This window comes from Homo sapiens, chromosome 3 (genome assembly GCF_000001405.40).
Source record: "Homo sapiens chromosome 3, GRCh38.p14 Primary Assembly".
Classification (NCBI taxonomy): domain Eukaryota; kingdom Metazoa; phylum Chordata; class Mammalia; order Primates; family Hominidae; genus Homo; species Homo sapiens.
Window position 1 is genome coordinate 100847513 of NC_000003.12, and position 25880 is coordinate 100873392.

The following is a 25880-nucleotide window of genomic DNA, read 5'->3' on the forward strand; positions in this document are numbered from 1 at the left end:
CAGGTAACAGACATTACATAAAAGCTGGGGTACTGGATTTTCCATGGTGAAATGAAGCAACACATCTACTAAGGACATATCATTATTACCCGGTGTTGTCCATGTAGGTTCAGGGCTTTTAGAAATTTTAGGTGTAATTGTTCCGGCACTTGTGGTTCTTTCTGGTGATGGAAAGGAAAAAAATATTGAAATATCCTAGAGACAATAAAAAGACACCCTCTAAAGAGGAACTAAATGATCCATTTAAAATCCTGCCATATTTAGTAGTCAAAGTATACAATGAGTAAAAGTTTTGAGGAAGAATTGTTAAACTGTCATAACAGTATACATCATACAAAATTACATTTATCTTATAATGGAATAAGCAAAACCCAGTTGGTCAAGCATGATTCTGAGTATATTGTTTGACAATGAAGAATTGACCTCCAGGTTAATAAGCATCTGTACCACCCAAACTCTGTGCTATAATATATATGTTATTCCCTTCTCCTTTTCTTCCAAATCCTACATGTATTTTGGGGTCTGTATCTTCAACTCTTTCTTGGAGCATTTACAAAAATATTACAGTCTTGGAAATAAGTTATGTAAATGTACGTTGTGCTGTCATTTTTATGTTTTATCTTCTCAAGGTTATAATCTATTTGAAAACCAGAGTCATGTCCTCTCTAACTCAGCCATTGCCCTGGTGAAAAACTGAAAACAGAGTAGGTACCAAAAAAAATAGAAACATCACTCGAATGAACATTATAATAAACATGCACACCAAAAAACGAATTACATGTATCACTCTGTATTGCTATGAGTGGGACTTGTTTCTAGGTTTTTACCAAAATTCACATGCAAAAATATAATTTTCAGTAAACCCCTTTTGGACACTTGAGTTTTGTTATTCTGCATTATTAATTATTCATCTTTAGTTAATCTCAAATTTTGTAAAGAAACTAATCTATAAAACATATCCTTTTTTTTTTTTCCCTGAGATAGAGTCTTGCTCTGTTGCCCAGGCTTGAGTGCAGTGTGCTATTATAGCCCACTGCAGCCTCAAACTTCTGGGCTCAAGAAGCACACCATGCCTGGCTAATTTTTTAAACTTTTGCAGAGACGGGGTCTCACTAGCTTGCTCAGGCTGGTCTCAAATTCCTAGCCTCAAGTGATCCTCCTGCCTTGGCCTCCCAAAGTGCTGGAGTTGCAGGTGTGAGCCACTGCACCTGGCTATCCTTCTTACTATAAGAAAATGGACATTGTCTATCTGGAATTACATATCATGTAAATATAAAGAGACATTTACCAGGTTTGGTTCTTGGCGGTTTGGGCCGGGGGCGTCGTTTAGGTGTAGAAGGGATAGATGTAGTTTGCTGGGGAGCTGAAAGAAGATTTAATATAGCTTTGATAAATGATATTTTTCAGGGGTCAATCAGGTTGTGCCTGTAAATTTGCAAACTCCAAGTACAAGAACTGCTTTATATTTCCTTGTATCCTTAGAATGTCCAGTATACCTTGTTTTATACACAGGAGGTGCTCAATAAACAAGGGGTGACTGGGACAAAAGGTATAAAATTTCTACATGAGAATTGAAGATATACATTGTTCAATTAAATGTATCAGAAGTGAGCACCCTTGAGGCATTTCAGAACACAAGGTACAATTAAGAACTCAAAAGGATGACATTGAATAGCAGGAGAGAAGCACAAATAATGGAAATTTGGAACTACTTTTTTTTTTTTTTTTTTTGGAGACAGAGTCTCACTCTGTCACCCAGGCTGGAGTGCGTGGCGCAACCTTGGCTCACTGTAACCTTGGTTTCCCGAGTTCAAGCAATTCTTGCCTCAGCGTCCTGAGTAGCTGGGACTACAGGCATGTACCATGACGTCCGGCTAATTTTTGTATTTTGACTAGAGATGGGATTTCACCATTTTGGCCATGCTGGTCTTGAACTCCTGGCCTCATGTGATCTGCCTGCCTTGGCCTCCCAAAGTGCCGGGATTACAGGCGTGAGGCACCACACCCGGCCCAGAACTTTAATTCTGTAGCTCTTTATTATCCCCACCAAGAGTCAATGAACTTCGCTATTTCAATAATTTTCTGTTATAAAATGTAGGTTGTGTTACCTCTCTTTAACCATCTTTCTTCATCATGTCCAGGACTGCAAAGCCTACTTGGTGCTCTCTATACTTAGACTACTTTGGGTAAAATACTTTGATCAAATGGTACCTAACTGTGTTAAGTAGAAGGGAACATATTTTGAAATAATTATCTATAATTCTGCTGCTAGTTTCCAGCTGGCAAAGTTGAAAGAAGAGTTGGAAGGAAACAATTCCTCAAAATATATAGTCATCAGGATTGTGAAAATTCTTTAAGGATAATCATAAGGCTAAGTAGTCAGATTCTTGGAAGAATTTCATGGTAGAGACTGAAGGGAAATATTTAGCAAAAACAAACAAAAGAAAAACAAAATTCTGAAATGGCCAACATGACTTCTCACATTACCTGTTTCGTCAATGCATACATAACTACATAAATGTCATTAGTTACCAGGTGTCGTAGGCTGCATTTCTGGACTGGTAAAGATTTCCAGTTTTTGAGGAACAAATGGTGTTTCACTTGGAGCTGAAAGCACAAACACCCCAACCCATCAAATAATCCCAGTTAAAATGAGGTATTTGAAGAATTTTAACATGCTTTTAGATGGTATAAAGCACATGCCACGAGTACATGATTAAAGATGAAAAATGCATGTAGTCTTGAAAGCTAGTGAATAAAATTCTGATTTAAAGTAGGGAAAAGGCTAGAATGATGATTGTTCAGTAGATGACTTCAGGCAGACTTGATGCATGGAAGTAAAGTGACACAGGCCACAAACATGTGAAGTGAGATGGTGCAGGTGATGACGTCCATGCAGTTTTCAAAGCTTTCACAACTAAAAGGATAGGGAAAATATTATCTATTACAGCTCAAAAAAATAAAATAGAGCCCTAAATGGAACGTAAAAGATGACTGCATTTAAAATATATAGATGTATATATTGAGAAATAGGATAGATAAATGATTAGATGTGATGGAATGAAATGGTCATTTGGAAGAAAGGCATTCACATGATTTTTTTTTTTGATGGAAAATAAAGTATGATTTTTCTGTTAAAAACATTACCCAGTGTTGCCCTTGGCTGTTCAAGAGTTCTAGAAGTTTTAGGTGGGATAGAATCCAGAATACGATCACTTGTTGCTGTTGGAATAAATGTCAACATTTGTAAAAGCAGTAGAAGGCCCCAGGAATAAAATACAAATTCATGAGTAATAAATTATGCCTCATATGAGGAAAAATATCAAGAATACTTGAGGGCTTGCTGGCCCACATTTTAAAACTAGTGATACATCAGGAGTTGAAGATGAGCTCACTTTAAAAAACATACATACTTTAAATATTAGAAACCATGATTAAACAGTGTTTTATACATTCAACTGGTTTTCAACACGTTTTTCTGGTTTCCTCCATTTTGTTTCATAATTGCTAACTGAACTCACCACTGACATTCTATTTCATTGTTTTATTTTCTGCTCTTTAAAATTATTCATCTTTATTTACCATGACACAAATAATATTATACATACAAAAAATATCAGACATATATCTATACCTGGCAGAAACCAGTCTTACTCCCTTTGAATCTCCTACAGTACCCAGTTTAGTAGGTGTTTGATAAACATTTGCTGAAAGGAGCTGTCGGACTGAGGTAACTCACTATAGATGGGTCAGTAATTGAATGCCAAAGATTAGACCCAATTGAACTGCTACAGCCGAATGAATTATGTGACTGTTCTACATCAAGGTTTCTCACGTTAGCACTATTGACAATTAGGGTCAAATAATCTGTGCTGTGGGAGGCTGCCTGTGTACTGCAGGGGTTTGGCAGCACCCCTCATCTCTACCCACTAGATGCTAGGAGTGCTTCCCCAAGTTGTGACAACCAAAACTGTCTCCACATTAGCAAATATCCTGGGGAAGGTATGGGAGTTGAAAATTACCCCCCATTTGAGAACTACTGCTCCAGACAAAACCCTCTAGAAACTCGAAGACCTTTTTATGATTCTGAACAATTCATTAAGCTATTACATTACTTTTCCTCAGTGGCAACCAAATCTATCTGCATCTCCCTTATGTGACAGAGCTTATTTACTGAGAGATGTAAAGAACTAATCACTCTATGGGAGGAGTGGGTAAAACACAACTCCCTGACACAGGTAGAAATTTCTCCCATGCAGAGCTCCAGAGGATACAATTTTCCACTCTGCAAAAACTAAAGGAAGAACCACCAAGTGTTGGAACACCTGGGATCCAAAGACAGAATTGAGAGGCCAGATATACCTGTGTAGGAATCTGATATCTCAGGCTCATCTGATGTTGTAGGGCTTGAGAAAACATCATAAGTTGCTTAAAAAAAAAAAAAAGGCAAAACAAGAGAGATGTTAATTTTGGTTAAATTTGATTAATTTAGAAAGATTACATGACATGTTGTAATGCTGGTTGAAGGACAGTTTTATGTAGGTACTGGTACATTTTGGCTCCAGGCTGCCAGCCTTGTCACTAACATCTAAGCACCGAAACTCGCCTTTGGTCCTTTTTTGCTCTGAACCGCAGGATTTTATATAGTGAGCCCTGATGCTGGCCTCCAGGGTGATGAGAACATAGTGCTATATATTTATAATCATGCAGTGCCAGCTGTAAATCAAAGAGCTGCAAAGAGTATAAACATAAATAAAGTCAGATGGCAGTTTGGGGAGAGATTTTCAAAGAAGGAAAACAGCAGTCCCATTGAGGCAATTTGCCCAAAGTCTATTGCTCAGTCTTTCTGCTTAGTAAAAGTTACTGTTACAATATCTTATGTATGGACAGCACTTCACAGTTTGCAGAGACTTACTCATACATCAACTTATTGAACCCTTTTAACATCCCTGAGAAATAGGTGAGGTAGGCAGTAGCCCCACTTTGTAGACAATAGGAGGTTATCTCCATTTTTTAGATAACCAAGTTGTGGTTTATAGCATGAACACATCTGCCAGTGGTCACACACTGAAATTGTCCCATCCAGTGTATTTTCCTTTCCTTCAGCAGGACCAGAAACAGCAGGGCTAAAACCAGGATTCTCTTTTGGCACCTTCCCCTCCTGACATGTTACCTAGAGGCAGCTTTCTGTGCTTCTCCATACAGCCATGAGCCTTTCTCGAGTTTGGGCAGGTTTAAAGATAAATTTTCTATTCTGTACAAAGGAAAGTAGTATGAGCTTAAATATAAAGATTGACTTATTTTAATATGGGGATAATTTTCATGTTCACATAAGAGTTGAACCTGCAAGCAAAAACAGCATCACAAAGTGTTCTCTTTCCTGTACAAACAGCTGTCACTGTGGTCACGAGGGATATAGAGAACACATGAATTATTACGAGGTAGATGTTGCTTTTCTTGTCCATTCAAAATGGCAGCACAGAAATCAAGAAGAAAGGAGCTCACAGGAAGACGTAGTCATTGGGGTTACTTGTAATTCAATGACAGTTTAATGCTTTTGAGCCAGTGCTGGTTGAAGCTGTAAGAAAGATAGTATCAGACCATGTGACATCCTCTGAAAGTAGACAGCATTTTATATTGTACTACATACTAAAGAGGCAGGAAATACATTGCAATGTGTGAAGGTGAATCTACTATTTCACAAAATCCTCAAAAATAGCAAGAATATTGTGAGTTAAAGATATGCACACATTCTGAGAATGCATCTATTATATTGTAATGTCAAGTTTCCTTTAGCCTTGCTGTCATTTTAAAAGGTCAGATAAGAATGACTAATTTTTTAAAAGATTAATCAAAAGTGCCCGCAATTTCTGATCTTAAGCTTATTTTCAGCCAATTTCAAGTCATGGATCTGGCATGGTCAGCTCTATCTCCTACAAAATAAGAAAAACTTTGCCAACTTGTATTTAATCCTCTCACACTAGGTAAGAAACTATGAGTTAATGGCTTTTTATTTCTATTGTTGCTTTTGAAAAATGTCATGACTGTCTTTGTTATCCTAACTCCTAAAGCTCCCTTCCATTTAGTGACATTGGACCAATTTTCCTATAGTCTGTATTTAGTTCCAAAAGATGATATTTATTCACTCTTTTTACCTATTTTTCATATTTACAATTTCTTTTCAATCAGGAGGCTCCAAGCCAGGCATCCATCTCCCCTCGTTATTCCCATAAGGCATTCGCTGGGGAAAGAAGCCTTTCTTCCATCATCCTTTGGCAACTGTGGCTCAAATCTGGAAGTTCCCAATTTTCAGGGATCCCTTAACTTCCAAACATTTTATCAAATATACTTAAGACAAAAATAAGACATTTGCCAGCATACTTTGTTTTTAATATTTCTATTTCTGTAGTTTCCATGAGTTGGAAATAAAAAGAGTGCTAAAAAGCCACATATGCCACTAAAAGTTTTATGTTGTTTGGTCAGCTTTAAGCAGCACACCACACCTCATTTCATTTATGAGTTAAACAAGATCTTTTGATTCAGAAGTAAAGAGATTGCCTGGGCGTGGTGGCTCATGTCTGTAATCCAAACACTTTGGGAGGCCGAGGCGGGTAAATCCCTTGAGGTTAGGAGTTCGAGACCAGCCTGGCCAGGAGAGTGAAGCCCTGTCTCTACTAAAAAAAAAAAAAAAAATACAAAAATTATCCAGGCCTGGGATGGCGGGCACCTGTGGTCCCAGCTACTCGGGAGGCACGAGAATCTCTTGAAACTGGGAGGCAGAGCCTGCAGTGAGCCGAGATCTCGCCACTGCACTCTAGCCTGCACGACAGCAACTCCATAACAACAACAACAACAACAAAAAGAGATGTCGGGGGAGAGGACAGTGTTGAAATAGAGTTCTTTGAAAAGCTCCCTAACAATCAACAGCTCTTGATTTCTTTATAAAACCCTTCTATATACATGCCTATACCTGAGAAAAATTCATGAAATTGTTAGGCCTGGTTTCTAAAAGCTACACTAGCTATAAAATTGATAAGTAGCCAAGAGTTAAGGGTGAACCCTTCTGTATGGTAGCCTGTAAATTATCATATATTATTACTTAGAGGCAAACTTCTATCACTATGCTTATTGTAGTGGGTGAAATGCTACAGCTATAAGACATTAAGCAGTATTACTGATTTTGCATTCACAGAACATACATGGGACCAAAAGTTGTAGGTTAAATCGAATGCAACAAATAAAATAGATAATTCAATTTACAGGTTATAAAAGTCAACATTAGATTATTTCAAAAAATAGTAATGACTTACAGTCATAACTAAGTTTTACTTTCAGATTTTCCAGAGGAAAAAATAATATGAAATAACTTGCATTACCATTTGCTCTACACCTTCTTAAAACTACTTTGTTAAATCATGTTTTTTTTTTTCTCCAGATGGAATCTTGCTCTGTCGCCCAGACTGGAGTGAAATGGCACGATCTCAGCTCACTGCAACCTCCGCCTCCCAGGTTCAAGTGATTCTCCTGCCTCAGCCTCCTGAGTAGCTGGGATTACAGACATGTGCCACCACACCTGGCTAATTTTTTGTATTTTTAGTAGAGACAGGGTTTCATCATGTTGGCCAGGCTGGCTTCAAACTCCTGACCTTGTGATCCGCCCACCTCGGCCTCCCAAAGTGCTGGGATTACAGGCACAAGCCACTGTGTCCAGCCCTAAATTATGTTTTGTTGATAGTACATTTTAGTTTTACTTTGAAAAACTGACTAGATGCAAAGCCCCCAATAAAAATGCCCTGATACTGCTGTGGAAACATGTGATGGCATACAGGCAAACCATTGCATATGATCAAGACTTTATCTTATTCAAATCCTTTGAATATTAGTAACTATGTGAAAACTTCCTTTTTAACATTAACTCTTAGACAAAAGACCTCATTAATGGAGAAATTGTGTCTATCATGCTCATTATGCTTATCACGACTTACTTAATCCAGAAACTGGTACATGGTGGATACTCAGCAGAATTAATCTGCAAGATGTCCATTACAATAAACAGTAACAGTGAGTTTGATGGTTGGGTAGCTTAAGCTCTTAGTAAGGATAACTTTCTGGCTTAGTTTGGAGAATAAATGAAAACATGTCTTTTAATTATGTTATGATGTGCACGTGTGTACACACAAATCTCTTCCTCTACTACACAAATACCTGGCATACACTTGTGTAGACATACCCTGTCATGGAAATGGAATTCTAAAAAAAATATATGAAGGAGCAATGAGAAAAATACAGCAAGTAGCTAGAGGAGAAAAACAATACCACACACAGAGTTCACAGTACCACTTAAATACATTGATAATGCTTTCTTCAGTGAGTGGAAAAACAAAATACCTTTCTAGTTGGCCTGGAAATTTGTGAAAATATTGCCTGCAAGAAAATATTCATTAAAATGTTCATGAAATAAAATTAAAGGCTGAAGATATAAATCTCTTCAAAGCCACAGTGAATCTACAAAACATCTGCTATACCTGAAATCTGTTTTCCTACTCTCAAAGCATCAACACCACAACCTACTCCTTCGTTTTCTCCTCTTTTGAACTCAATCCAGTTGGGTGGGCCAGATCTGTGCTAATCAACACCTTACAGGGCAGACAGATAATAAATGAGCATGTCCTTATATGTTTACTTCTTTTCAACCACTCTTAGCAAACCACCTGCTGCCAAAACTTTCTAACCAATCTACTACTCCTTGGGCATACTGATGACTGCAGCTTTCAAGCCTTGAAATGATATATAGGACTCAATACAGATGCAATTTACTCTACTTCTACAAAGTACTGTAAGAATTTAACACTGAAAATAATTAGTGATGACCTCCTAAAGGAAGCTCCCAAAGAAAAATCTAATGGAAAAACTGAAGCTGACCATGCTTGGTTCTCTCTGTCAAGGGAAGTCTCTACAAGATAACTGTATATGATTCAAGAGGAAATTATACCAGAATAAGTAGCAGCTTAGTAACAAGTAACAGTAAAGTTGGAGCAACATTTGGTTTTTCTGGACACTTGGGAGAAGAACAGGCAGGAGGATTTCCTAAGGATGAAAACAAACACTTCAAATTAATGGGTTTGCAAGCATTGTCTTTATTTGCTTTTGAAACTCTCCTGGTACTCAATGATGGTCTTTTAAGGTTACAATTAAGTAAATTAAGGAGGCTTAACACTTATGGCATTATCAAACTAGAAACAAAAAGCTCATTTCCACATAACCTCCCAACCCATATTAAGTCTTTAGAAGTCGTGCACACACCCATCTGTGGGATGATAAATACATGGCATTTATGCTGCTTCTCCTTCCCTGGTGCCCACAGAAAACACAGCAAGTTGATAGTGGCATTATTTTACTCATTGATCCAAGAAGGACCTCAGAGCCCAGTTTATAGAGTGATTCTTGCTGCCACCGTAACTGAAGAGAGAGACTATGTGATATGATTTACCATCCTTGCTGTAGGGGTAATAGGACATTAGGCTATTCCCAGGGGGCAGCACAACCTCTGAGTAATACTGCATGTCTTTTCCATTCTCAAACTTTTTTTTACAAGTGAAATGAAGACCCATAGATCATTTGGTATGATTGTATACATATAAAATGAGCTTAGAGTTTTTTCTTCTCTCCTCCTCATGTTTTATTAAGTAATTTAAAAGCATAATTGCTATTATTGATTATATGTAGCAATTCAGGAAGTTGGGATAAACAGTATGATGTGAAGGGGTGGCAGCCAATGCAAGATTTCATTGTATTAAGGAAATGAAAACAAGGCACCCCTTTATATATTGTGCATTATATTAAGTAATTTATACATTATTTCTAAGACGTAACCACCTGGTGAAAAATTTATACCTTATTTCCATTTTATAGATGGAACAAGTTATTTAACTGGTAGTTGAGCTGGCTATTAACCTAGCTCTATCCCACCTTAGATCTCACAGATTTGTGATCACATTCACAACGAGAATAAGCTTCAGGGACTGGCTGGCCTCTCACAGATCATGTGATGTTTCTTATACACCATATCTGGAAGGCACATGGCCCCAGTAATAACATTTAATTTCCTCAGTTGTAAAGGCTGTTCTCAAATTTTCAGAGCAAGCTATATGTCATTGCTTTACTTTTAACTTGGAGTGGTTTATTGAATAATATATTAGGAAAGAAATGAATGAGCCTAATTTTTCCCCCCTCTAACCCATTTGGAGTTAAGTTCCTCTTGTATCACTTTAAGATAAAAGACAATAATTCTGCCAGTTTCTAGGGACTTTGGAAGTCTCAATATGATGGTATATAATAGCCCCTTGAATCTCCTAGAAGAAAATTGCTATGCAAACACAAATTATTGTATTCCAGTAGAGAAATGATCCAACAAGCAGGTGCACATACGTGCACATGCACAATTCATCTGAATGGAAGACACTGAGAACTTTTCTAGCGCTTGCTCCTTAACAACACTGAGATTATAGTTAACTAGCTACTTTACAATAAAACATGAACCAATTTTATTGCATCATCAGAAAGACTGACTTTTTGTGAAATATTGTCACAAGCAGTTAAGTTCTAAAGTGTGGTCAACTTCCTCTAGATACAAAATTTATAGGTAATTTTATATTCTGATACATAATTATAGAGAAGGTTTTCATGATTACCTTTATATATTTTAAGGAAAGTTAGATTTGCCAAGGGAATCAAAATCAATCAATTTCATTTCAACATACTTTATAGAAGGTTTAATGCAAAATGCAATTCCAAATAATGAAATCACAAAATGCAGCACTAATGACAGATCAGGACAAATAGGCTGAATGCAGGAAGAATATATTTGATGACTACACATCTCAGATTTCCTGGGATATTCCAAATTTCAAATATTCTGTCCCCTGGTTGCCAAAAACTGTTGAAATGACCCAGGAATTTCAATATTCAGTGTGCAAGTTAGAATTTTCATAGAGTCTTTTATATCCAAGAATGGTACAGAAATCTTTTTGAGTACACATATTCTGATTTGCTGATACAGAATATGTTGAAAACAGATCCAGAAAATAGTAAAGCAAAATAAACTTTACAAAAAGTACGATAAATCTCATTTAATGGCTGATAAAGAGAAAAGCAGCCCCAGGCATCCAGGAGCTGGTCTAGTACCCACAGGTAGGCTGTGGTGTTTGTTCTCCTGTTGAACATCAACAATTCCAAAGGATGCCAATATCAGACAAGACCACTCTCTGATCATGATGGATCAAGACAAAAACAAGACCAGTCTCTAATTATGTGGCACACAGACAAAAACATGAACATCACCCAGAGCACAAACATTACCCTCCCCACCTTCTGGCTGATACGAGTAGATGTGGCTTCTCAACCAGTCACAGCTTTAGCTTCCCTCTGCTGGTCTTGCCTTCTAATTAATTATGAAGACATTCAATCACAGAATTACTCCCAATTTCTGACTGCATCCAATTCAGAGCAAAGTTTTACTGCCTTGGACCCTTCCCTCAATCATTTAACACAAGACAAACTCTTACAATAAGTCTTTTCTATCATCTTCTAAGAGATCCCCCAGTTTATCATGGTCTGTGTTCTCCATCATTGTAATAAGTAAATGAATGTAAATTTGTTCAACTACAAGTGTGTTCTGCTGGTCGTTGGCTGAAAGGAATTGATATAGTAAATATAGATGCATCATACCCCAACAGAGAAAACAGAATGTGCTCATTTGGCTGTAATAATGTCATTAATACCAGTTAAAAATATTAGGTTGGTGCAAATGTAATTGTGGCTTTTGCCATTAAAAGTAATGGCAAAAACTGCAATTACGTTTGCACCAACCTATATTATGTTTCTTTAAAAGATACTGCAACTAAAAATGGGATTCATGGTTTTGTGGACCACCATTTAAACACTATCTCTACCTGTCTCTTTTGTCAGTTCTCAAAATAGTTGCTTTAGGAAGCTGTGTGAGTAATTGGAAAATAAAATACCTATTATGTATGTTGAAACTAAATGGGAAATAGAACATTAGTACACATGTAAATTTGCACAAAATCAAAACAAAGGCTGAAATAAAAGGGCTACATAAATATACCACTCTTTAAATCACAGATACTACATTTGTTATTAAATTTTAATTTGAAATGTAACGTAAGTTAGGAAGATGCCACAGAGCACTTACACTAGAAATGGAAGCGTTGCACACTAGCAGAAACAAGAGATACTTAACTACCCACTTTGAAAAATCAAGCTTGTATTGATTTGAGGCCTATGGTGCTATAACCAACTACACCCGATGATTCTTACTGGTACCATGTAAAAACACTATAAACTACATCGATAAGGTAGCGCTTCTCAAACTTTAATGTTCAATACAAAAATTAGCCAGGCATGGTGGCAGGTGCCTGTAGTCTCAGCTACTCAGGAGGCTGAGGCAGGAGAATCGCTTGAACCCAGGAGGCAAAGGTTGCAGTGAGCCGAGATCGCACCCATCGCACTCCAGCCTGGGAGACAAGAGCAAACTCCATCTCAAAAAACAAAAACAAAAACAAAAACTTTAATGTTCATATCGCCTGGGCATCTTGTTGGAAAGCAGATCTTGTTTCAATAGATCTAGAGTGGAGCCCAAGTTCTGCCTTTTCAACAAGTTCCCGGGTGATGCCAAATGCTATTGGACTGAGGATCATGCTAAGTAGCAAAGACATAAAAATTAACTGTTATAAGGCAGGATGGGAAGCTTCTATGGCTAATGTTAATATGTGCAATCACATACTGTACTGTTATTACAGTTTTTGACAAGTCTCAATTCTTTGTCTAGAGAGGGTGGGGAGTTCTCAGTTGGAAGTTCTCTGGCGACCTAAGGTTGCCCTGGCAGTAGTGTAGCAGCTGAATAAAGAGTCAGTTTCCTTCTGCATTAGCCGCTGCTCATACTCCTTCAGGGCAAAACCAGAATATTCCTTTTTTGAATTAAAGGCAAAAGAAACCTTTCCTTTATTGGCATTTCCGATATCATCTATTTTCGTCTCATTGTAACTCTGTAACCTTTACATCCCAACATATTCTCCCCACTCCCCAATGCTTGGTTCAACTCGAGCCTTCATATATAATTCATATGCCAGGTATTAAAGTCTCGAAAATGGTTTCCTTGATGTTTTGGTTAGTTTGCTCTTGAATATTCATAGAAACCAAACACTGGATATTGCTTAAAGAAAACCCAAAAGAACCCCATGTTCCCCATGTTATAACCGAAAAGCTAAAAGATGAAAGGGATCTAAAAGTTTATCTAGTCCCTAAATCCCCAAAGGCACTTGGCTCAGGTGCTCCTGAGGGATGTGGGAGTCACAGCCAGGGCTGTCACGGTGCAGCAGATAAACCATCACATATGCCCCTAGACTAGTTGTTGCATCATAATTACAATGCAGCTGCACCTGGGTGATGGCTACTGAACCCAGAGGCTCACTCAGTATGAAATTCAACTCAGAACCCAGATTTTAGACCCAGGCGACTTGGATTGCTAAAGGGGTTTTTGCACCCACTTTAGTTAATTGCACTAGAATTTTAGAGTCAGTGACTAGGGAAACCAAGACTTAGATACAGTTTGAGGCTTCTCTGGATAAGCGAACAAGCATGGCCAACTTTCAAGTGTGTTCCCACTTAAGGAAACTAGGGGTGACTATAATAGACATATTCCCTTAATTTGATGTCATCTTCTATCTTTTGCAGATATCTGAGCCCATTACATATACTAGAGAAAGGATAATTTCACCAAGATCTGTGGGGGCTCATGCTCATCCTTTCTCAAACCCAGTCCTCTGCTGGACTCTGGAGAACACCACAAAATGCTGCTGCATTTAAGTTCATTACATGAAACATCCAACTTCATTATACACTATATGATATGTACCCCAAATAAAGTCAAAACAACTAGAAGATTTACAAAAATTAAAATACAAATAAGCAAAACACAAAAATCATGGAAGTAATCATAAAGGATGGTTTCTGAGGTCTTCTTATAATTCTCATATGCTGAATACGCACTTTAGTTGACTGCTAGGCAATCAAAAGATGTACAGAATTTAATTGAGAAAAATATTTTTTGTAAAAGAAACATATCTCAATCAATTTTAATGATGGAACACAAGAATTCTCCACAGGAAAAAAAAAAAAGCCAATTGCTACAGTTTGCAAAAGAGGAAACCAATACCTTCCAAAAGTAGAGGAAAGTAGCCATCACATGGTTACTAGGAGAGCGAGGCCTGGAACCAAGGTCTATTATCAACCGCAAGGACCTGTGGTCTCTCCTACATATCATGCTACACTTACAAATTTTAGAACTTACTATACTATCTTCACATAGTAAGCTCTTAAATGTTTATTTAATTATTTTGCCAAAAAGAAGCAAATATTCCCTGCAAGAGACTGTGAAACTCATACTGTTAAATCAGACCCATGCTGATGCTTCTTATTTTGGTACTGTTTTCCTGTCACTAAAGAGATCTCTATCAATGAGCCAATTCATAGTTCATGTTCTGGCCACATTTCTAAGATGTTATAGTATCCAGAAATTAGAACAGGTGTCTTTAAAACATTCAAAACCATTTTGCTTTTGTAATGGGGAAAATGAGGTTCATCTCAGTATCAACAAATGTATGATAGATTTTCCATTTATTACAAAGCATAATGATAATCAATTAAGGAACCTATAAAAACAATAAGTTACTCAATATTCCTTGTTATAATCGATTTTTTTAAGAAAAGGATTTAATTACCAGTTTGAGGCTGCAGAACTTTGGAATCTTCAGATATTTTAGCTGTAGGCACAATCCATGGCTTTTCACTTGAAGCTATATTGAAAAGAAATGGAATTTGCTGAAGATTTTTTTTTTTTTTAACAGGAGAACGAGACAGAAATAGGTTGCTGGTATGGTTAAGTGGCTACCAGAAGCCTGCAGTATACCAATACAATAAAAAGTCATTATATATCAGTAAGAAATCAGTATGTATCCATCCAGAGAACATTTGATTAGTGGTCAGAGAGAGACCAGAGTTTGGTGTCAGACTGTCAGCATTTTTAAGGACAAAAAGCTAAGTGGATTATGTGGAATTAAGACTGATGGGTTTTACCGAATTTGCAGAAAATCCAAATAGATTTATTAAAAAAAAATCAAATCAACCATTTGTTTGCCTAACTATCAGTTCATGAGGTTTCCAGAAATAAGATGCAGTAAATGTGTCCTGCAGAATTAAGCAATCACCACCCACAGCCTTAATATTAAATTTAAGGTACTCTTATTACCCAATGTGCCCCTAGGTTTCTCAAAAGGGAAGGGTGTTTTTGCCTCAGGAAATTCTGGAAGGCTTTTTGGAGCTGTAATGAAACACATAAAGAAAGTTACGACCTGAGGTGAAAGTAACAGGAAAGATTTTTAAAATTTTAAGCTTGCAAAAACAAAAGCAAACACAAAAAGGCAAATCATGTTAAGAGACCATTAGTAGTATTTCTTACATCTATGTTTCAATGTTGAATATAAGAAAGTTTCTTTTTCAGTTTTTTATAGTTAAGTGACTAAATTTAAGCTACTGTATTTGGACTCTTCTTTCCACCCTTATTAAACCAGTTTGCTGATTTCTTCAGCTATGTTTATGTGTGTTCTTAAATATATTTCATTTAAATTTAAACCAAGCAAACACATCTGAACTAGAAAATGTCCATCTGAAAGCTTTTAAAAATAGAGTTTTGGTAACTACGTGGCTTTATATGTAAGCTCCTCCCCCAACCTCTTTTTTTTTTTTGAGATGGAGTCTCGCTCTGTCACCCAGGTTGCAGTGCGTGGCACGATCTTGGCTCACTGCAACCTCCACCTCCTGGGTTCAAGCGATTCTCCTGTCTCAGCCTCCTGGGTAGCTGGGATTACAGGCGCATGCCACCATGCCAGTCTAATTTTTGTATTTTTAATAGAGACGGGGTTTCACCAGGTTGGCCAGGGTGGTCTTGAACTACTGACCTCAGGCAATCCACCTGCCTCAGCCTCCCAAAGTGTTGGGCTTACAGGCATGAGCCGCTGCACCCTGCCCTCATTTTTCTCATACTTCACTCAGAAGAATTCTAAGAATTATAAGAAGCAGTCTGCAGAAATATCATAAATATATCTTCTCTGTTAAGAGAGACAATAGAGTAAACACATTTACAAAAAATACAGAAATGATCAATTTGTTCAGTGACATATTGATTCTGAATTAAAAGAATCAAACATAATATTAAAATATGACCACTTAAAAGAAAAACAACCCAACCAAACAATTTGTCATAGGGAGAGCCTCTTTGGGATCCTAAACTTGAAGACTGTGTCACCTTTAAGGGATTGGGTATAAATTAGCGTAATTAATTCAAAAGACTTCTTTGAAGCATGCATACAATATCCAAGGTAATAATAAAGCTGCAGTATTTATTATTTTTTACCTAGAGTGCTCAGTGGCAATTCAAACTGAGGTATTAGAATAGTTTGCAATGTTTCCGGGGTCCTTTTGCTGAGAACTACAATAAAAAAGAGTGCAGTTAGCAACTCCTGGACTTGGGTTTTGATGTTGTGGCTTAACCATGATCATGCACAGCAAGCTTTGTAACAGACTCTTGCACACAGAGCAGCCAATACCTTTAATGGAAATAACCTTCCCTGGAAAAGTTACATAGCTGTTAAAATATGAAGGTGTACATTCAAAGGGCAGTGGTGTGGCTGAGAAGATCAACATCAAATTACAGAACAAAACACATGCTGCTCCTTTTCTTCAGGGGAAAGAGAACAACAAAGCAAGTTAGATTCTCTTGGGCTAAGAAACAACAAACATGGGTGCCATGAAATTCTTGTTTAAAAGCATGACACTTTTGGGGATTCTTCCCAAATTTAGTATGCACAAGACTTCCCAAAGCCACTCTAAGCAGAAAGCACAGAGTCAAGACTTCCAGGTTTCCTTCATTCTCCCCCAAGATTTGGGAGTTAAAAGGCTGGTATTCTGTCTGTATAACCCAGAGACTGGTTAAAAAGGGCATTTAGTTAGCAATTAGCATCCAGATTTGCCCAGAAGTTCAGTCACCAGGATCAGCCATGTGGTTAACTCTTCAGTGGAATCTGTCCAAGAAAGAGGAAGGTTAACCACTGCCAGGAAGGAAGGAAAAGGAGAAAGTGGGGAGGGAGAGAGAAGTTAAGGCACCAGGTTTCTTTTCTGTGAGTCCTGGGAGTTATTTCGTTGTTACTTTTGTTTTTTTAGAAAAAAAAAAAGTTCTTAGAATTACCCAGTGTTGTTTCTGAAACATCTAATGCACTAGACGTAGTGGGTTTAGTGCTTCTTGGAACTGTTTCAGGAGTCACTGAAAGGTAAAAAGCACAACTTTACAAATTAAGATAAAGTGAAGCAACCAAAGACCAGGAGACACATCCTGTTGCCTTTTAGAATTAGTGGCTGATATTTGTATAGCCCATTTCTTTTTGTGTTACTATGTAAAGAGCTCCTTGGCTTGTCTCAAGTGCCTGAGCTGACACTCCTCTCCAACTGGTCCTTTCTGGGTTTGCTTTCTATCCAAAAGAGCACTCTGACCTGACTTTCATTGAAACACTTATAAGCTTAATAATAATTTTAAATCTGCCTTTTTCTTTATCACCAGGGCTTAGCACAATACCTGGGATAGAGTAAACAAGCACATGATTATAGTTTATTACTTTTTAAATCATTTATTGAAGAATCTGAAGGATAATCAAGATAATAGTTTATTAAACGAATAAATGGGCAAATGAAAGGATGACTCTGGGCTAAAAGTCTTACTTAGAGCTACCACATTATAAGACTTCTCTCTTACACTGCAATGAATATGCAAAGCTTGAAAATGAATTGAAATTATGATCAGAATTTAAATGCTCAGCCACAGATTTGTCCCAAATGCTAGATTAAAGGTAATAAAAAGCTCAATTAAAAAGCTCACACTCCTTCCCCACCAGCCAGTCAACAGTTTTGGAGAAATAAGAACTAAGATCACTGGGATCTGAAATGAATTGAGAGCCAGAAAGCCCCGGAATGTTGCAGGGCAAGAACACAAAATAAACACAATAACCCTGAGTAATAAGTTGTGGTGTTTTCCTAAGTGTTTCTGAAGTGGAAAACTCTGAGGAGGGTTTGGCAGAGGACTAAAAACATGTAGACTCTCCCATCAGAAATGCTGCCAAGAGAAAAAAGTATAATTGGGGAAAGTGGGTAGAATCTTTGAGGGAGAAAGGGATTTGGAGTCCCTATAGAGCCATGCCTATGCTTTTCTGGATATTGATCACGTATACGGAAGTCAAAAACCATCTAGGAATTTCATCCAAATGGGTCACTCCAGTAGCTATACCTCTGCTCCAACTCCCATGAAGGTGGGGATGAAAGGTTCATCTCTTTTCTTTGGAAAAGGACCATATTCACCTTGCTCTCTCAGACATATTCCTACTTGAATGGATTTCTTGAAGTTATTTTACTGCCACAACAACTTTTATCTTCTCTGGACCAGTTACGAGTCCAGAAGTTTAGTAAAAGGTACATCATCAATATTTCAAGTTATAGGATTTTGTGGACTAAAAAATTCACTACAGATTGGAGTGACTCTGCTAAATATAGATTGTGGGAAATTCTTGCCAGATGTCTGTTTCATCAGGTCCTGGATAAGGTGGTACTACTCTGGCAAAAACTCTAGCTCAAAGATTAATGCCTCCCCCCTGGACTGGACTTGAGTAGTTCATTAATAGAAGAGATGCTGAATGTTTGTTAGTAATGGTGACAAACTATGGAGAAAATGCTTACTGCATTAATTCTTTGAAGGATTGTTACTGAACTATTCTATATTCTCTACACTAGGATTGCTAAAGTTCCAGAGACATTTGTTTCTAAATGATTCCAGGGTATTTTCATAGATATTAAGCTATGGATTTGTGAAGAATATATGGCATTTTGCTACACTGACCACTTGTAAAAGTGTAGAAATGAAAAATGGTCTAATGTCATCATATGAAAGAACAGCACCAAACTTGTGGTATGATGTTTTTAATATAAAAATATTTCAGTGTTGAACTAATAATTTTCATTTAGAGTAAAAAATACAGCTTCTGTATTACATATCAGTTATGTGATTCAATACTCCATTTTGCAGCTATTGTTTTCCCAAACGTTAGAGACCTAGAATCTCCTACTGTTTTGCATTTATGATCAAAATGTATTTCCTACTGGCTCTTTACTGAAAAAAAGACTGCAGATTAGTATTTGAAAAAAAGCATTTTTTCTTTTCTCAAGGTCAACAACATAGCGATCTCATTACCTGTTGTGGGTCGTGCTGAGATTTTTTCAACCTCTGGTGTTTTAGATTCGGCAGGTAATGCCAAGGTTTCATTCTTAGCTAAAAAGTCAGAGAACAAACAATTTATCTCACTTGCAGTGTCCAAAAATACCTCCCTCAATGCATAATCAAGTAGCAGACTAAAAATCTAATCTCACACTCCTTCCCCACCAGCCAGTCAACAACTTTATTGTGTATCTCTAGCAGGAACTAATATAAGTCTTCAAAATTCTTTCTTATTAACCCTACATAATTCTTTCTTATTAACCCTAGGTAATTCTTTAAGATCTAAATTGGCATTGAAATGAAGAAAAAAAATCACAACCCAATACTTGGATACATCTCAAAGTCATCTGATTGATAAATAGAATTTCTGGAAGGCATAGGTTGTATTGCAAATGCTTCCTGGAATTTTATATTCAAGTACTGCCAATTTTAAAAAATCAACCTATAGAAAATTTCCGGCCGGGCGTGGTGGCTCATGCTTGTAATCCCAGCACTTTGGGAGGCAGAGGCGGGTGGATCACGAGGTCAGGAGATTGAGACCATCCTGACTAACACGGTGAAACCCTGTCTCTACTAAATATACAAAAAATTAGCCGGGTGTGGTGGCGGGCCCCTGTAGTCCCAGCTACTCTGGAGGCTGAGGCAGGAGAATGGCGTGAACCCGGGAGGTGGAGCTTGCAGTGAGCCGAGATCACGCCATTGCACTCCAGCCTGGGTGACAGAGCGAGACCCCGTCTCAAAAAAAAAAAAAAAAAAAAAGAAAATTTCCGTTATTCTACATGGTAAAAAATGTAATAAGTTATGACATTGAGATTTTAGAAAACCACAAACACCACACATAGGAAACTAAGCTATTTGAAAATATTTGTGGCAAAAAATTTAACAGTAAATTTTATTTGAGCCTCATATTAATGTAGATCTTCTCTTTTAATCTCTGTGGGAATTCAGTACAAAGAATAATTTTTTCCATTTTTCCTCTTTATGCAACTATTTGAGAAACTTCATTTTAAAATGTAGATGTTCTTTTTCAAAGAAAGTAACATTTCTAAGCCAGTGTTCCCCAGCGATTATGGTATTCCCCATTTGAAAGGGTATAATTAGGATTAATTCTATTCAGTTATTTTCTGTGTTGAATCATAATATTACCTGCTCATAATATTTTGAAACAGTCTAGTGGCATGAAAGAATTCATGCCCCTTTGGGATACCCTGATCATGCCACCTTGAGCTGATCACATAATCGGACAGGATTTTTCAGAGTCCTAAGGCTATACAGAACTTAGATTTCCCAACTTTGGCACTATTGATATTTGAGGCTAGATTATTTTTTTGTATGGGTGGCTGGCCTGTATACTGTAGGATGTTGAAGAGTATTCTTGGCTTCTACCCATTGGATTCCAATAGTGCTCTCACACACTTTTGGAATATTTTGTGCTCCACAGATACTTTTCTAACAACCAAAATATCTCCAGGCAATTCTAGATATTCCCTAAGGGACAAAATTGCTCCCTGTTGAAAACTTTAATTTTCACACTCAAAATTCTTTGAACATGTATTTTATAATCTGTAGTTCACTTTATTTTTGTAAAGACCATCTTCTTTTCTGTTAATGTGGGTTCAAAAATATTTACTTAATTCTGATGAGCTTGAAGACAATTAGAAAGTCATCTTTCACGACGTTTATAGCAGCAAATCAGTTTTCAATCCCTACTTGATAAAGGCATACAACAGATTTCTAGATAGCTAATTTTCAGGAATTATTTAAAATGCCACCACTAAGTGTCATAAATGATAATTTGCAACAAATTGTGTGTTTCTGAAGTTGCAAAGCATGTTCACACAACAAAATATTTAATAGCATTGTTCAAATTAATTTAGCAGGGCATAAAAAGGAACTTTTTAAAAATCTAGCATAATTTTATGAAATTCTATTTTTAAAACGTCTAAATTTTATCAGTTTTTTTTCTGACATCTTTTGTGTGAACCATTCTGATTGTCAACACAGAAAAAAATTCAGATCATGAATTTTTCAAGCACTCTGTTCCTATTATTTTCAACATGCCCCACAGGAAGTTTTTTTAAATGTAAAATTATAAGGTTTCCTTTCACGATCTCTTCTCTTTCAGTGTTCTCTTCTCCTTCCAGGGCTCCTTCCTGATTAAGAATATCCCATGTTCTCAGTGAGTCCCTGGCTGACCTAGGACCTCTTATTATTTATTTGTTTAATCGTCCAGATCCTAGACTTTCACAGGCGATGCTCTCAATTTCTTTATTCAAAACATGTTCTTAGCTGGCAATCACATTAGCCTAAAATCAGGCTGTTAATGAAGAAAGGCAAACTACCCCTTCCTAAGAGACAGAGACATTTATATTCTTTCTATATTACTAACTCATTTTACAGGCATATTGTTTTTTCTTCTTCTTTTTGGTTTTTTTTTTTTTTTTTTTTTTTTTTGAGTCAGGGTCTCACTCTGTTGCCCAGGCTGGATACAGTGACATGATAATAGTTCACTGCAGCCTCAAACTTCAAACTCCTGGGCTCAAGTGAAACAATTCTCCTGCTTCTGCCTCCCTAGTAGTAGCTGGGACTATAAGCACGTGCCACAGCACCTAGCTTATTACTAATATTATTTTGCAAAAACGGGATCTCACTATGTTGCCAGGCTGGTCTTGAACTCCTAAGCTCAAGTGATCCTCCTGCCTCAGCCTCCCAAAGTACTTGGATTACAAGTGGGAGCCACTGCACCAGGCCATACTGTATATCTATAAATGATATTTCAGACATCAGAGAACTTAGTAGTTGGGGAGGGTATTTGAATGGGGAACTCTTGATATATCAACCCCTGAGCATTCACCCACACTATCTATGCACAACTGCAATCTTGGCAATAGGAAAGTAAAATGCAATCAGAACACAGCCTAAAACCCAGGAAATTCCTTTTCCTCTATTTCTTCTGTACATTTTTCCATCACAGTTGTTTCCTTTAATTTTTGGCAGGCCAAGTCTTGACTTTGGCAAACCCTTTGTATGTCCCTTGGGGATGTGTGTGTAATCCTAACTTTTTTGTTTATATCTCTCATTATTCACACCATGTGTTCTTAGAACAAGCTATTATACTTCTTGATGCCCCGTTATGAGCTCTGCTGGAATGAGGATGTTGTTTTTAGGATTTACTACCTCAAAAAATGTAGCTTTTTTGAGTTGCAGTGATAATTAACTTCAGCGCAGTTTATTTCTCCCTTCATGGCATAAAGGACTGTTTATGCCCACACTTTGCAAAAAACAGTGCTTCTGTGCAGCAAAGGAAGCAATAAACAAAATGAAAAGGCAGCCTATGCATTGAGAGAAAATATTTGCAAACCACATGTATCTGATAAAGGGTTAAGATCCAAAGTATATAAGGAACTTACACAAAATAGCGAAACAAAATAACACAACCACCCTCAACCCCAAATAACCTAATTAAAACATGGGCAAAGGACCTGAATAGACATTTCTCCAAAGAAGACATAAAAATGGCTAACAGGTATAAAAAAAAAAGTGCTCAACGTCACTGATCATCAGGGAAATGCAAAATTAAGACCACACTGAGATATCACCTCACTTCTGTTAGGATGGATATTAAGCAAAACGATAAAAAATAGGTGTTGGCAAGGGTGTGGAGAAAAGGAAATTCTTGTTTATTGTTGAGGTGGAAATGTAAATTGGTGCAGCTATTATAGAAAATGGTATGGAGTTTCCTCAAAAAATTAAAAATAGAACTACCTTATGACCCAGCAATCCCTCTTCTGGACATACGTCCAAAGGAAATGAAATCAGCACCTCATAGAGATACATACAGTCCCACATTCACTCCAGCATTGTTCACAACAACCAAGATATGGAAACGACTTAAATGTTCATTGATGAATGTATAAAGAAATTATGGTACACACACACTGGAGTATTATTCAGCCTTAAAAAAGGAGGTCCTGCCATTTGCAATAACATGGATAAATCTGGAGGATATTATGCTAAATGATATAAGCCAAGCACAGAAAGAAAAACACTGCATGATTTCACTCATATGTGGAATCTAAAAAAAGTCACATATATAGAGAATAAAACTTTATGAGGGATGGGATGGAGAGGGGGAAACAGGGAAATGTAGAACAGAGGGTAAAAAGTTGCAGATGCATAGGATGAATAAGACTAGAAATCTAAAGTAGAAAACAAGAACTATAATTATAATATTGTATATTGGAAAAGTGTTAAGATTTTTGGTACTCTTACCACATGCACACACAAAGGGTAACTATGCAAGAGAATGGATGTTAATTTGCTTGAATATAGTTAACTATTTCACTAGGTACACATATAAAAAAAACTTCATCTTGGATGCTTGAAGCATATACAATAAAAAATTTTAAAAAATTGTATATGTAGTTTTTAAAGAAACATGGTCTACTAAGTTGGTACATTTGTTGGGTAGGATTTTCCTTTGATTTATCAGACATTTTCAAACATACTGGCTATCAGTCTCTTCAGTGTGTGATATGGTTTGGCTGTGTCCCCACAAATCTCATCTTGAATTCCCACATGTTGCGGGAGGGGCCTGGTGGGAGGTGATTGAATCATCAGGGCAGGTCTTTCCCATGCTATTCTCGTGATAGTGAATAAGACTCATAAGATCTGATGGCTTTAAAAATGGGACTTTGCCTGCACAAGAGCTCTCTTTTTGCCTGCTGCCATCCATGTAAGATATGACTTGCTCCTCCTTGCCTTCCATCACGAATGTGAGGCTTCCCCAGCCATGTGGAACTATAAGTCCAATTAAACCTCTTTCTTTGTAAATTGTCCAGTCTCGGGTATATCTTTACCAGCAGTGTGAAAATGGACTAATACAGTGTGTAAGAAATTCTCCATGTGTTAAATTTTCTATGTGTTCTTTTATTATTAGCATCATACTTTAAGAGACCAGGTCTTGCTCTGTTGCCCAGGCTGTAGTACAGTGGTGCAGTCAGAGCTCACTGAAACCTCAAACTCATGGGTTTCAGTGAACCTCCTGCCTCAGCCTTCTGAGTAGTTAGGACTACAGGCATGTACCATCATGCCTGGCTATTTTTTTATTTTAATATTTTTTGTAAAGATGGGGTCTTGCTATATTGCCTACGCTAGTCTTGCATTGCTAGTCTCAAACGATTCCCTGGCTTCAGCCTCCCAAAGTGCTGGGGTTACAGGCATGAACCACCCCATCTTGCCCATGTATTCAATTTAAGATAGGCACTTCCCTCAAAAGCCAAGTTTAAAAACATACTTACTATTTTCATAGTTTTAATTATTTGCATTTTACTATTTGCATTTATTTTTTCTTTATTAAAATAACACTTAATTCTGGACTTTTAGTGAATCATATCAGAAGAACAAAAGTAAAAACGAATCACAAGACAAAAATCCACTTTAATTCCTTAAAGAAAGCAAAAATGCTAAATTGGTATTATGGTAGCATGTAGAATTTTTAAATTTTTTTTTAAAGATTAGGAAATATCACTCAAGACTAAGCACTGAGGACCAGACCATGACATCTTCCAGTTTAAAACTGACAGCCGTGGTCTGAGAAACAACTCTGCTCATTTTCAGTCCCCTTCACAAACACTGCTTTCTGCAGTTTTGATGGTAACATTAGGGACCAAATCAATGAGATTGGCCAGCTCCTTTTTTTCCTCCTTCCAAACAAGTTCTAGGCATGGGGCAAAGTATACAGTCTCTGGGCAGAGAACAGGTTAATGTAAGAGTCCAGAGCTTTAACTCTTCCAAACACAGATCCACTGAGGGATCTTAATTTGGGAGCATCCTGGCAGCATCACATTTACATGATGTAGGGTTGGATAACAGGGTTTTATAGTTAAAGGGAGGTGACCAAGTCTGATGCACAAATTAAGAAAATGAAGTCCAGAGTCACTTGACTATTTTCTGGGAAGTAACTAACTCTAGGACTACTAGATATGACTATTTTAAAGTAAAAATATAAGGATTGCACAAAACCACAAAGATATATTGGCAAATATTTTCACACCTTACTAAGATGTTGAACCATACGTTTTGGAAAATTTTCAAAAATTGTAAGTCTAATAGTCCCCAGTTAAGTGCTTTTCTACCAACTTAAGGCCTTCCTCTTCCTTCTTCCAGGAGTTTCTCAAAATCAGCACCTAACGAGAACTTAAGAGCTTGCCTTTTAAAATTCTTATAACTGGATTGCCCCAGATCAGTCAAGCAAAAAATGAAAAAAGTTAACTTAAACTTTCAGGTAACACTATTTATGCAAAGTTAAGTGTCTGGATATTTGAAAAACACATGAAGAGATAGCAATTTCTTTTCAGGTTTTTTTAAAAAATTAAGTAGCTTGACATTATGTGGACAAAACTTCTAAACATCTCTACATGGCCCTATTCCCTAAAGAAGAAAATTGGAAACAAGAAAAAGACATCAACATTTGGTACCTCATTAGATT

General features: G+C 37.1%; 1 protein-coding gene across 57 annotated transcripts in view; it reads right to left on the reverse strand.

The window, feature by feature from the left end:
- The window catches only part of ABI3BP (ABI family member 3 binding protein), a 244266-nt gene that overhangs the window by 98357 nt on the left and 120029 nt on the right, over nt 1–25880 (reverse strand). For 32 of the 57 annotated variants that reach the window (XM_011512643.3, XM_011512647.3, XM_047447923.1 and 29 more), the window contains exons 10-19: nt 19367–19444; nt 17321–17395; nt 16490–16564; nt 15326–15397; nt 14799–14873; nt 4363–4428; nt 3148–3222; nt 2533–2607; nt 1289–1363; nt 90–161 (exon numbers count right to left, since the gene is read on the reverse strand). In XM_011512643.3, coding sequence (XP_011510945.1) covers nt 90–161; nt 1289–1363; nt 2533–2607; nt 3148–3222; nt 4363–4428; nt 14799–14873; nt 15326–15397; nt 16490–16564; nt 17321–17395; nt 19367–19444 — 738 coding nt within the window. The remainder of the gene's footprint in view (nt 1–89; nt 162–1288; nt 1364–2532; nt 2608–3147; nt 3223–4362; nt 4429–14798; nt 14874–15325; nt 15398–16489; nt 16565–17320; nt 17396–19366; nt 19445–25880) is intronic. The other 25 variants (XM_047447926.1, XM_047447922.1, XM_024453445.2 and 22 more) reach the window with 9 other exon arrangements.